The 14,447-nt window shown below is 35.9% G+C and overlaps 1 protein-coding gene across 46 annotated transcripts in view; it reads left to right on the top strand.

Annotated features, from left to right (window-relative positions):
* Positions 1-14,447, top strand: part of SYNE1 (spectrin repeat containing nuclear envelope protein 1) — a 515,676-nt gene that overhangs the window by 102,341 nt on the left and 398,888 nt on the right. For all 46 annotated transcript variants that reach the window (XM_047418508.1, XM_017010610.2, XM_017010609.2 and 43 more), the window contains one exon: positions 8,847-8,942. In XM_047418508.1, coding sequence (XP_047274464.1) covers positions 8,847-8,942 — 96 coding nt within the window. The remainder of the gene's footprint in view (positions 1-8,846; positions 8,943-14,447) is intronic.

Below are 14,447 nucleotides of genomic sequence, written 5' to 3'. Positions count from 1 at the left end.
GTTAAGATTTCAGCATATCTCTGGTGAGTAGGCACAATTCAACCTATAACAGATTCCATTAAGAGCACATTTTGTTTTAATACCAAGTTAGATGCATACAGTCTTTTAAAAGGAACATTTTGGATTTTCCATGTTTTTTCTAAAAACAAATCCATGCTAATCATGAATTTAAATGACATCTTTATAGTCATAAAATATCACTTTAGTGGTGGCTTTCATCTTCTTTAGTTGTCTTTCCACCAGCAGTGCTGAAAGATAACATGGAAACATGTTCCGAATAGAATTTTACTCCCATCTGTTTCCTTGTACACATTTTGGTGAGACTATTAATGAGCTCAGACAGGAAGATAAAGAGGCAAAGAGGAAAAGGTAAATGCAATAATTCACCCCCCCAAATAATTTTTTAGTTGTTTTTCTCAAGCTACAATAAGTAGGTGAGATGATGGATATGTTAATTAGCTTGATTTAATCATTTCACAATGTATGCACATACCAAGATATCATCTTATATAACAAATATATACAATTTTTATTTGTCAATTATATCTTAATAAAGCCAGGGAAAAAATAATTTAATTTGTCAACCCTAAACATTCTAATAAATTAGTTATTTCCAAATATGTAATTAAAATGTTATAAAGGAAAATTCCCATTTCAAAATGAATAGCATTTGTTAATTTATTTATAGAATATATTAGTTTATGGATAACAAAGATCTAGATCTCACAAAGTTTATGCAGACTAATAAACATTTTGCTAATATTAATATTTGTCAAAGTTCCTTCTTTAGAAATATATTATTTTATTTATTTATTTATTCATTCATTCATTCATTCATTCATTCATTCATTTATTTATTTTTTTGAGACAGAGTCTTGCTCTGTTGCCCAGGCTGGAGTGCAGTGGCATGGCTTGGATCACTGCAACCTCCTCCTCCCGAGTTCAAGTGATTTTCCTGCCTTAGCCTCCTGAGTAGCTGGGATTACAGGAGCCCACCGCCATGCCCAGCTAGTTTTTGTATTTTAAGTAGAGACGAGGTTTTACCATGTTGGCCAGGCTGGTCCTGAACTCCTGACCTCAAATAATTCACCAACCTCAGCCTCCCAAAATGCTGGGATTACAGCTGTAAGCCACCGTGCCCAACCAGAAATATATTTTATTTATCATACATTTATTCAACAAATATTTTAAAATGCTGTTTAATAAGCTAGAGAATATTCTAGGTGCTGAAAATGTAGCAGTGACCAAAACAGAAAAAAAAATAACCATCTCATTATGAAGCTTATATCCTAATGGGGGAGATGGACAGTAAAGAAGATCAAGAAGCTCTTCTGCTGAACGTAGACTGAAGAGAAGCAAGGGCAGAAGGAGGGAGATAAGTTAGAGGTTATTGAAGCCATCTGGCCAAGGTACTGGTGACTTGGACCAAGATAGTAGCAGTAGAGGTGATGAGAGGTGGTTGGATACTGGAAGACTTTTGAAAATGAAGCCAACAAGATTTGTTGATGAATCAGATATTGAGTGTGAGCAAAAGAGAGGAGTCAAGGGTAACCCCAACTTGTACCAAATAAATAACTTGGTACAATAATGCTTTTATACTATATAGTAAAACAAACTTTATTACATCTGAAAATTGTTGAGAGCTGAGTTTTCCAAGCAGATTTAAAGCTGAGCTGGAGGGCAATTATTGCCTTTGGAATATTTATTCGGAATTGAATTAAATAATCGAGGAAGTGGAAAGGATTATGCTATCTGTCACAGGAAACAAAAAAGAATGGGAAGGACCTTCCCACCTTTGCCAAGCAGAAGTGGAAAATGATCACAACAGTGCTGTTACAAAGGCAGTGAAAGAGAAGCAGATTACACATACAGTTTTTAAATTACTACACTTTGTTTCTGAAGATATTGGAAACATTCAATTAGATTTGCTGAATAAAATGACAAAACCTGTTGGACATTAATTTTATTTGACTACTGTCAGTGGTTATAATCATGATTTACTTGATCTGGTCCAAGGATACTTTGGCATTTTGATACATATACTGTGGAGGGTTCTTTGCCAACCTTTGGGGAGGTCACTTGCTCCATATCTGCTGGTTAACCTCTCTTCCTTCCCACTTCTCTATATTACTGTTGTTTAACTTGCTGTTCCCACCCAGAAGATAATCATCAGAGCATGCAAAACTCCAGACTGGTCCTGGGATGGGAATTTTTCTACATATACAATCTCTTAGCTTGTGAAATAATTCCTACCTGAAACTTATATAAACCAGAAGTAGTGGTTTATCTGGTTCTACAAGTTATGGGTCGTTCTGTGCACAGAGGTTTCAAGGGTGCACAGAATGCACATGGAGAGTCAACCCTTGCCTTGAGACCTCCCTACATGCTCTGCAGAAGAAAATGTTGTGACTATCTCAGGTCATGACTCTTCATCCTGTTCAGCAACCCTGACTGTGCTCAATAGTGTGTGTGCCTCAACTGAAGTAAATACTTAACTGTGGCATGCGCTATTCTTCTAAGCATTTTCTGGTTCAGTTTTATTGGTATCACTAGGTACCTAGCAATCACAAATATTAAGCCATAGGATATGTGTTTAGTAGTTTAAAGTAAAATATTGTAGCTTTTTTTGATGATAAAATGTTTTGAGAGCTCTTTTCTCAAAAGTAAAAACCATTTACTAGAAGACTAAAAGTGATTATGGATGATGGCAAATGAGGTCCTAGATGGTCCTGGTGTGAGACAGGTGATTTTATCATTTTCTTTGTTAAATACTAAATTATTAATACTGAAAATCTACTTTATAGCTGCATGATATTGGTCAATACGGATTCTAAGATTGTAGAAGATTTGTAGAAATTTGTACCTCATACAGTGATGATATGCTAGTAATGTTTCAAAGTAGGTTTCTATTCTTCCACAAAGCAGCCACTATGTAAAACAATATGTCAGTTTTTCAAAAAATAAGATAAAAATAGAATTAACATGTAGTTCAGCAATTCCACTTCTGGGTATATATCTACAAAAATTGAAAGCAGGGTCTTCAGGAGATATTAATACACTCACGCTCATAGTAGCATTAATCACAATAGCCAGAAAATGGAAACAATGCAGATGCCCATTGATGGATGAATGGATGCAAAATATGTGGTATATCCATACAATGGAATACGATTCAGCCTTTAAAAAGGATGGAATTCTGGCACCTGCTACAACATGGATGAACCTTGAGGACGTTATAATAAGTGAAATAAGCCAGTCACAAAATGACAGATACTGTGTGATTCTACTTATAAGAGGTATCCAGAGTAGTCAAAATCATTCAAAAGAAAATAGAATGGTAGAATGGTAGAGGCTGAAGGGCAGAGGGAATGGCTAGTTGTTGTTTAATGGGTACAGAGTTTCAATTTCACAAAATGAAAATGGTGGAGATCAGTTGCACAATAATGTGGAAATATTTAACACTACTGAACTGTATGCTTAAGAAGATTAACATGGCACATTTTATATTATGTGTATTTTAGCACATTTAAAAATTAAAAAGTTAAACTACATTCAAAAGGGACATGTCTCAGTCCCCAGTAGATGCCTGAAGCCACAGACAGTACTGAACCTGATCACTATCCACTAGAACACATTTCTGTTCATGTCCTCTACCCACCAATGTAACACCTTTTCCATCTTAACTCAGCACTTATCATTTACTCTGGCCGTAACTTTTGTTGAGGTGTGACAGCCAATTTTCCTTTTTCACAGTTTCACAAATAAAAGATTTATTCTTACCATGGATCTTAGCAATCTCAAATTTTTTTTTTCATTTTCTTATTGAGAACTTTCATCTTTTCACGTAAAGGAAACACTTTACAGCATCTTGTTGGCATATCCAAATTGACAGCATCAGTACACTTGCACTTTGTGGTCATTATTAAGTAAAATAAGGATGACTTGAACACAGGCACTGTGATACCGAGGCAGTTGATCTGATAACCTAGACAACTATGAAGTGACAAGCAGGTGGGTCAGGTTGAGTAGACAGCATGAATACCCTGGGCAAAGGGATGATTCATGTCCCAGGCAGGGACAGCTTAAGATTTCATCACACGGCGGGATGTGGTGGCTCACGCCTGTAATCCCAGCACTTTGGGAGGCTGAGGCGGGCAGATCATGAGGTCAGGAGATCGAGACCATCCTGGCTAACACGGTGAAACCCCGTGTCTACTAAAAATACAAAAAAAATTAGCTGGGTGTGGTGGTGGGCGCCTGTAGTCCCAGCTACTTGGGAGGCTGAGGCAGGACAATGGCATGAACCCGGGAGGCAGAGGTTGCAGTGAGCCGAGATTGTGCCACCGCACTACAGACTGGGCCACAGAGCAAGACTCCGTCTCAAAAAAAAAAAAAAAATTTCATCACACTATGCAGAACAGTGTGCAATTTAAAACTTATGAATTGTTTCTTTCTGGAATTTTTTGTTTAACATTTTCAGACTACAGTTGACCCTAGGTAATTGAAACTGCACATAAAGGGGGACTGTTTTAGTAAAAAAAAAAAAAAAAAAACCATACAATTAGGTTCTTCTGAAGATATGCACTTCTGTTTTACAGAACAAATTTACTTTTGGTCACTTATGTGAGTGGGAGTGGGGAGACACTGATATTTAAATTGTTACACTCAGAATAGTGTTTACACACTAAGAAATTAGACACGTCAGTTGTGCCTCATTTTGTTGCAAGTAAATAAAATTAATTTTAGATGATTTAACCAAGAAGAAAGAGCTATTGAAAGGCTACTAGTTGTCTCAAAGTATGAGAAGGAAAAGCCAACTGGGCAAGACAGACTTAACTCAGCAGGCCTGCGGTGCTCAGATGCTGTGTTCCAAAGACGGGCCTGTCTTTAAGAATAGACCTTGGCTGGCTTCTGGGAGATAATCTGAGCCCTTGGAATATTCTGCCCCAGTAGTGTGGTTTTCTATGCCTGAGACCTTGAGCCACACTATATTTATAGTGAACATCAGTTTTTGTTTGTCCTGGGGCCTTGGCAATACTGTACCACCTTGATAGATCTTTTTATGCTAATAATGTGATTTGGGTTAACTTTTTTTTTGCTGGGGTTGAGGGTGTGGGAGAGAGCTGGAGCTGAGTAGCTGAGGTCAGTCACATGGATATTGCTTGTCTATGTCATAGACCCCCCAGTAAAACCCTGGACACTAAGACCTGGGGGAACTTCCCTGGTTGGGAACACTTCACATGGGTTGTCACATGTCATTGCTAGGAAATATAAGTACATCCTCATGTGACTCCACTGGGAAGGGAGAGGTCATTCACCTCTGAAAGACTGTGCATAGTTTCTCCTGGACTTCACTACATGTGTCTTTTTGCTTTGCTGATTATAATCTGTATCTTTTTGCTGTCATAAGCTGTAACCATGAGTTCAGCAGCACTTCTGAGTTCTGAGTCCTAGTGAATCATCAAGCCTGAAAGTGTTCTTGGGAGCCCCCAACACACTGACTAACCCAGTTGTGAGAAGGACAGTCAGAATGGCTCTTGGGACCTCAGCAGCATGACCTGATGACACTAGTCCCTAGGTCACTGCCATGGGACAATGTAATCCCAGACATCTTCTGGACCCAAGCAGAGAATATGATGGGCCCAGCTCAGGCCACTCACATACAGTATGAAATGAAAATTTAAGAAGTTCTCACATTTAAGTATTATATATGAAATAAAAAATGTTCATGCATAAAGTAATTATGACAAAATAGTCCTTCTATAGACTACATACAATATATAAATTCCAATATTTAGTAGGTATTTCTATGACTTAGATATTACTCAAATTTAGTGAGTGTTTCATAAGGATAAAAGGAGAAAGATAATAAAATAGGAAGAGAAGAAAAATGAATAAAATATTGTTAAACATCTAAGTGTGCTGAGTGCTATTCTGTGGACTCCTACCTGCTATCTTGTTTAATATTCACAGCCACTACCTATGGGAACACCATCCTCTCTTTAAAAGCAAGGAATCTGAATCTCAGAGACACTAAGTGACTCGGATTAGAGCCCAGGATTTTATACTTTGAGTCACCTTGTTAGACAGGAAGCTTAGTATAAAAATGATGGTATTAACATTAATTTTTCCTGAATAATACACAAACCCATAAATGTAATTCATATTTATTATCAATAGAAAAAGTACTGACTGATCAGCTGAAGTGCCTGCTACTGTACTAGAAACACTAACTTTATTAACTTCTAAAAGTGAATTTAAGAAAGACTAAAAACGTAATAATAGAAGCATCGTATGTACTAACATATCTAACATATACTGGCATGGACACAAGCCAGCTCAAGTCACATCTTTATTTTCCATTAAGTCAAGATCCAATAAATTATCTGCATCTCTAACTCTCCCTTTTGACCTTCAGCACTATGACCCAAGTCTTATCAAAGTCACCATATTGGTGGTATAAATATTTGTACATGTGACAGGAGAAATATTTTAGCTGAAAGATTTTCTATTAAAATATTGTTCCAAAAATTAAATGTGAGGTAGTCATCATAGTAAAGGTCCCCCTAACTGATTGTTTGGTATATATAAAGAATACCTTATACAAACTGGATGGCAAAACTTGTCCAGTAATTACTAATTTTTTTTATTCTGGTGTAATAAAGTCTCTTTATTGGCTTCACACAATATTTACATTCATTCATTCATTCATTCAGTCAGTCAGTCAGCCAGCAAGCCAGCAATAGATATGAAGTGCCTGCCACATGTTTGACAAAGTTTAGGAGAGGTCGCTTACCTGGATTTAAGAGTCATGTATAAGCAGAAAAAAATTTGTAAAGAACAAAGGACTCAGGATTGAGTGGTGAATGGCCATGGTTAGGAAGAAGAGAGGAGAAAGAAAGAGAAAGGGCTGTGAACTAGGCAGTCTGGTCACAGAGTTTTGGGTAGGAACAGATCAGGGAGAGAATGGTATTGGCAATGTCCCATGCAGAGGGGCCAGTAGGCTGCTGAGCTGTTCAGCTGTCGCTGCTGATCGGAAGGCCAATTCCAGGAGCCTTGTGGAGGGAACAGCTGGAGGGAAAAGGAAAGCACCTGCAGCATGAGTAGCAACAGAGGAGGGAAAGAAGAGAGGCAGAAGTGAGGTGAGAGGACGTGTTCCTCAAAGTGGCAGACACCTGTGTATTTTTAAAATCGAAACAGATGAAGATGTGCATTTTATCATTTTTGGGTGCAAAATTTCTTGAAATCTTTATTATTTTATGAGAATTCCCTGCTTTCCTTACTTTTTGCATATTTATAACAATGCATGAAAAATTTTATTTGCATTTGCTCACTGAATGTATCAAACATTTATGAACTTGTTCCTCATTGTTTTGCTTGATTTAAATAATTTGGGTACAAGTGGTTACTTTGAATGATAAATAGACTGCATTTTTAATGACCGTATATGGCTAATAACAATAATTTTGATTCTTATTGCACCAAATAGTTTTCTTTGTAATGGCTTCTTTTATTCTGATGAATTTTATTTATATGCTTAGAATATAAAGTCACTATTACATTTTTGCTATGTAAGTAAGAAGCAGCGTGAATGGTGGAATTTGAAAGAGAATGATCAAAAATGAAAACTCTGTTATTTTTGAACATGTATTTCACAGCATGAGAACAAAATGTATTCAGCTATTCATTTTATAATGAGAGAAAAATACATTTTAACTTAGAATTGTACTATTCAGACATTATAATTCATGCAGTTGTAAGAGAAATATAAATGCTCTACATCAGTTGGTAGAGAAAAAAAGTTACATTCCAACCAAACATTTGGAGTTAAATCTCTTACATAGAACACATTATTTTTTAAAGAAAGAAAGAACATTGAAAGTCAGGAATTGAGCATTAGGCCTTTAACAAGATTCAGTAAGAATCAGAAAGCTATAAAGTTTGAATTCAGATGCTAAATGGAAAACAAATTCTGATTCTGTGATAAATCAGTGAACACCTCCCCTCTATTGACCATCAACATTGGCATAATGGCTTCTTTACTTTCTCCTGAGCCAAGATAGACCCTAATTCAATGTTTGATGAATTCCCATATATTGAGTATTTTAATAACCTTCATAAAAAAATAAAAGATGCTCCATGAATTAAAGGTGGTCTTTGGCTTATTTTTCCAGCAGCGATGATAGATTTGCACTGATCGGTCTGTACTTTTGTGCTTATGATCTTTTGGGTTCAATGCCACACTGAAAGAAGGTTCGCTAGATTCACCAGGCTGTAGAACACAACATAACAGCTAACTAACCCACAGGAAGATTGAACCTGCAACCTTAGCTCTGCTGACAGTGCTCCTCTAGCAGGTCACTGAGCTAATGAGGTTGCTGTGGTGAGAATGTCCTATAGAAGGGCTGCACCTTGTTAAGCCCCAGTAATGTGTCTTGCACAAAGTTAAGCTGAGGTTGGTCCATGCAGCTCTTGCTCTGCTTTTACGTCCTGCTATAATCTCTCTCTTATCTTTTAGGTTGATAGTATCCTCTTTTCCTTCCCTTATCCCACACCATCCTGCCCTTGTCAAAAATCACTTTCTAGAAAGAAGCTGGTACATACATTAAGGCTCAAGCATTAAATCTTCTGAGGTTTTTGAATATCGAGTTTTATCTCCACTGGATTGTTTTTCTTCTCACAGTTATCGAAAGGCAATTGGCAACTCAATCCAAAATAAAGAATTAAAGTATATAGAAGCCTCTCCTACAAATTTCACCACCATAAGTAACAAAGGTGAGAGAGAGAAAGAGAGAAACAGAGAGGGAAGAGATATTTTCTGCACTTATTCCTCTTTGCTTTTACAGCGGAAACCTCCAATGGTGGTGGACGATCTTTTTGAAGACATGAAAGATGGTGTTAAACTGCTTGCCCTTCTGGAGGTCCTGTCTGGGCAGAAACTGGTAAGAATTTTTTTGTGTGATCATACTTGTCAAATTGTTTCCATTTGGAATTTGGGGACTATGGAGTTGAGAGTGCTAAGATGTGCTGCCCAGGTAAAAGAAAGTTATTTGTCGTGGTTGGTAGTATACTGGAAACACTGCTGGCACTTCTACTTCTAGGTGCAAGGAATATATTTCCCTTCTTGTTCCTGCAAACCCCTAGTGCATTTAAAATGTTATGTTTATAATAACAACCTTACAATTAAGAGTAAAGAACTTCATCAGTAACTTAACATGATTAACCATTGTATCTATACGGTATACAAGAAGATTAGTTGCAAATTACCATCTTCCTCACTTTAAGTGTTTGTCTTCCATTTAGAAAGAAATGTTGGTCCATATCTGTGTATTTATATAGTTGTTTATTGAAAATTAAGCAGGAAACCAGTGTGGCATTTTTCATATTCTTGTTGACATCATCCATCATCCATCATTTGTAGCAAGAACAGCCTGTTCAGAGTTGTTTTTATGTGCTGTGGAGCCAGCAGAGTGAAAAACAACATTAACAGTGAGCTAGAAAGTACATTTTCTACATTGTCAAATAATAAATTATCTCTTCTTGCTTATCTCTTTTTCATTTCAGAGTAGTAGAGCATTAAGTAGTTTGTAAACATAAATTATTTATAAATAATGTTTACCATAATTTGGAAAAAGGAATTCAGGAAATAATTTTCAAGATGTTGGATAACACACTAGACACAGAGTCCAAAATTGAAAGTCCATTTTTTCTTTATCACTTGTATCTTGGCAATAATGACACAATCATTATTACTTGGATAACTGAGTTTTTAAAAGAGGATTTTTACCTCTTCAAAATTAATTTCCATTCATTTTGTACAGGGAGCCCTCAAATAGCTTTTGTAAGAGTTGTTTGTTGAAAAACATAAACTGGTAATAATTTTGCATCAGTCGTTTAAGTAATTGGATTCCCAGGTAGCAGATGCTTCTGGCACCCCATGTCTCATCTCAGCTACATCAGTGGTAGACATTCCCATATACTCTGACAGCTTCTTTCTTCAAGCACTCGTAGTATCTGTCTGGCTTTCTGCCTCAGGGCTTTTCTTAAAGGCACAAGTTGCACAGAGCAGCTTTGAAGTGTTGGGGAGTTAGTAGTACCAAGGGACCCTCAACCAATGGATATGGGAGTCTATGAATAAATGCTCCACCCTAAAATTACAGGGTAATTCTGAGACAGGTGATTCTGAGGCATATTTTACACATGTCTTATAGAGTTCCCATAGAGTCATCAGTGGGACTGAGTTCCAGTTGCCAATAGCAGTAACCCTCAATAGCACATCCTTTGTTAGCTTTTCCTCCTTCCCCATCTCGCTCTCCACACATCCTCATTCTTGCCACCTGGGATCACCTCCCTAGTAAGCTACATGCACCCAAGTGCTTGTCTCAAGCTCTGCTTTGGAAGGAATCAAGCTAGACATATATGAACAGGCAATTTGGAATGTATATAGGCATATGCATTAGCTAAAGATACTAGATAAGCATTAGGTTGTGGGAGTCATTAGATTGAAATACATACTCCCTTGATTACCTGATATAACTGGCCATTTAGATATATCCTCCTGAATTAAGCTATTTTCTTGAAGGTTAAAGGAATCTTTATGTGAATATTCATGTAGGTATTCAAGAAGTTTATGTGTCATTCTAAGTGTTTATTGACATATGCAAGTCAATAAATGTGATACATCATACAAACAGAATTAAAAACAAAATCTATATGGGCATCTCAATAAGTGTAGAAAAAGCATTTGATAAAATCTAGCATCTTTTAATGATAAAAAGCCCAACAAACTAGTCATAGAAGGGACATACCTCAAAATAATAAAAGCCATATATGACAAATCCACAGCTAACATCATACTGAATGGGGAAAAGTTGAAAACATTCCCCTTGAGAACTGGAACAAGACAAGGATGCTCACTTTTGCCACTTCTTTTAAACATATTACTGGAAGTCCTAGCCAGAACAATCAGGCAAGGAAATGAAATAAGGGGCATCCAAATTGGAAAAGAGTAAGTCAAACTATCATTGTTTGCTGATGATGTGATTGGATACCTAGAAAACCCTAAAGACTCCTCTAAAATTCTTAGATTTGATAAACAAATTCAATAAAGTCTCAGGTTACAAAATCAATGTGCACAAGTCAGTAGCACTTTTATATAGCAACAGCCACCAAGCCGAGAATAATATCAGTATCAGTAATTCAATTCCTTTTACAATAGCTGCAAAAAATATCTAGGAACATATTTAATCAAGGAGTTGAAAGATCTCGCAAGGAGAACTACAAAACACTGCTGAAAGAAATAATAGATGACACAAACAAATGGAAACACATCTCATACTCATAGATTGGAAGAATCAATGTTGTGAAAATGACCATACTGCCCAAAGAAATCTATAGATTCAATGCAATTCCTATCAAAATACCAACATAATTTTTCACAGAATTAGAAAAAACAATTCTAAAATTCACGTGGAAGCAAAAAAGACCCCAAATAGGTAAAGCAATCCTAAGCAGAAAGAACAATTTGAGGCATCACATTATCTGACTTTGAATTATACTACAAGGCTATAGTTACCAACACAGCATGATACTGGTATAAAAGTAGATACATAGACCAATGGAACAGAATAGAGAACTCAGAAATAAAGCCAAATACTTACAATCAAATGATCTTTGACAAAGCATTCAAAAATGTAGATTGAAGAAATGACATCCTATTTAATAAATGGTGCTGGGAAAACTGGATAGTCACATGTAAAAGAATGAAACTGGACCCCTATCCCTCGCCTTATACAAAAATCAACTCAGGATGGCTCAAATACTTAAATCTAAGACCTGAAACCCCATACAAATTCTAGAAAAAAAAACTAGAAGAAAATCTCTAGACATTGGCCTAGGCAAATAATTTTTTACTAAGACCCTAAGAGCAAATGCAACTAAAATAGAAATAGATAAATGGACCTAATTAAACTAAAAAGTTTCTGCAAGCAAAAGAAATTATCATCAGAGTAAACAGACAACCCATAGAATGGGAGAAAATATTTGCAAACTATGCATCTGACAAAGGACTAATGTTCAGAATCTACAAGGAACTCAAACAAATCAGCAAGAAAAAAGACAAACAATACCATCAAAACGTGGGCAAATGACATGAATAGATATTTCTCAAAACAAGATACAAATAAGTAATACACATGAAAAAATGTACAACATAACTAGTCATCAGGGAAATGCAAATTAAAACCACAATGAGATACCACCTTACCCCTGCAAGAATCGCCATTATTAAAAAGTCAAAAAACAATAGATGTTGGCATGGAAGTGTTGTAAAGGGAACGCTTATACACTGCTGGTGGGAATGTAAATTAATACAACCTTTATGGAAAAACGGTATGATTTCTTAAAGAACTAAAAGTAGATCTACCATTTGATACAGCAATCCCACTACTGGGTGTCTACCCAAAGGAAAAGAAGTCATTATTTCAAAGACACCTCACACGGATATTTATAGCAGCACAATTCACAATTGCAAAGATATGGACCCAACCTAAGTGGCCACTGACCAGTGAGTGGATAAAGAAAACGTGATATATATACAACCATGGAATACTACTCAGTCATAAAAAAAGAATGAAATAATGTCTTTTGCAGCAATTTGGATGGAGCTGGAGGCCATTATTCTAAGCGAAGTAATTCAGGATTGAAAACTAAATACTATATATTCTCACTTGTAAGTGAGAGCTAAGCTATGGGTACACGAAGGCATATAGAATGGTATAATGGACTTTGGAGACTCAGAAGGATGAGGGTAAGAGAGGGGTGAGGGATCAAAAACTAAATGTTGAGTGACAGGTGCACTACAATCTGAGACTTCACCACTATATTATTCCTTCATGTAACGAAAAACCAATTGTACCCTAAAAGTTATTGAAGTTAAAAAAAATGGAACAGGAAATTAAGTTCATTCTAGCAGAAAAAGGTAAAATTGAATTCTTATCTCATGGCCTATACAAAAATTAAATCTACATGAATTAAGGACCTACTGACAGTAACACTCTAAACTCTTAGAAAACATGGGTGAATATGTTTTAGACACAGGGATAGGAAAACAATTATTCAATAAGACACAAAAATATTGACAATAAAAGATTGCTATATTTAATATATTAAAATTAAGACTATCTTAAAAATTAAAAACCTTTAAAACAACTGGCAGAAGTTACAAACTTGTTGAAGATATTCACAATTCATGTTGTAAAAGGATTAAATCAGGAATATATAAAATACATCTTCAAAACAATATGGGTGCAAACAACCCAAAGGAAAACCTGGGCAACAGATGTGAAAAGGCATTTTGCAGAAGAAACTCACATCACCAATGAACAGAGGAGGAGAAGTCCCCATTGCTGCTGATCAGGGAAATGTAAATGGAGACTGCAATGAAAAAGAGTACATATACATTTTACATATATTCAATTGAAAAAAGTATGTTTAAGGTATCTGTCAAAATCAAATGTTGGAGAGGATACAGATTAGCAGGATTATTTTTGCAATGCTGATCAGAATAAAAAGTAGTACAACCATTTTAGGAGAGTTTGATATTACTTTACAAATGGAAGTCACATTCCCTTCGACTCAGCAATTCTACTCTCAGGTACATGTCCAAGAGAAACTGTGCTTGTACAAAAGGTGAGAAGTACAAGAATAATCATCAACATATCAAAATATCAATAACCTGGAAATAGCACATTCATATCAGAAGAAGAGTATAGAAATAGCACATTATGTAGCTTTTGAAATGAATGAAATACAGTGAAAGGCAATGATATGATGAATCTTAGCAATATAATGTGGAAAAGTAGGTCTCAAATGATTAATACAGTGATGCTCTTCATATAAAATTAAAAACTAAGCATTCTTTTTAAGAAAGCGTGTGAAAGAAATGAATCTCTATAAAATGGCAAACACTAGACTGGAGTTAGTATGACGGGTGCCCTCAATGTAGTCAGATAGGAGGATGGGATTAATGGTGGTCATATTTTGGGATATGGCTTTCATACTTAGTTGTGGGTCCTGACTTTGTTTTAGGTTGCAGGTTCTGGGTGTGTTTTACATTTTTAAAAATAATTAACTAATAAGCTAAATAAATGGGCTGTGCACAGACCAATGATGAGACTGTGTCGTGTCTAACAGAGGTCTCAGTAAATAATTTCTGCTCTTAGACATACAGAAGACTAAAAGGCAAATGCATTAACAGATAATCTGAGAATGAATGCACTTATTGAGTGAATTAGTATATCTTCAGAGTGCCATGGGGAACACCCCTTTATGTATTTGCTAACCTTTATAGAAAGTGAACAATGTTGGTTGCTTTTGAATATTCTTCAAGTATATTTTTAATCCATTTAAATAGATCTTATAACTAACATTTTAATATGCAGATTTTG

Source organism: Homo sapiens, chromosome 6, assembly GCF_000001405.40.
Source record: "Homo sapiens chromosome 6, GRCh38.p14 Primary Assembly".
Classification (NCBI taxonomy): domain Eukaryota; kingdom Metazoa; phylum Chordata; class Mammalia; order Primates; family Hominidae; genus Homo; species Homo sapiens.
This window is presented reverse-complemented; position numbering and strand designations above follow the sequence as displayed.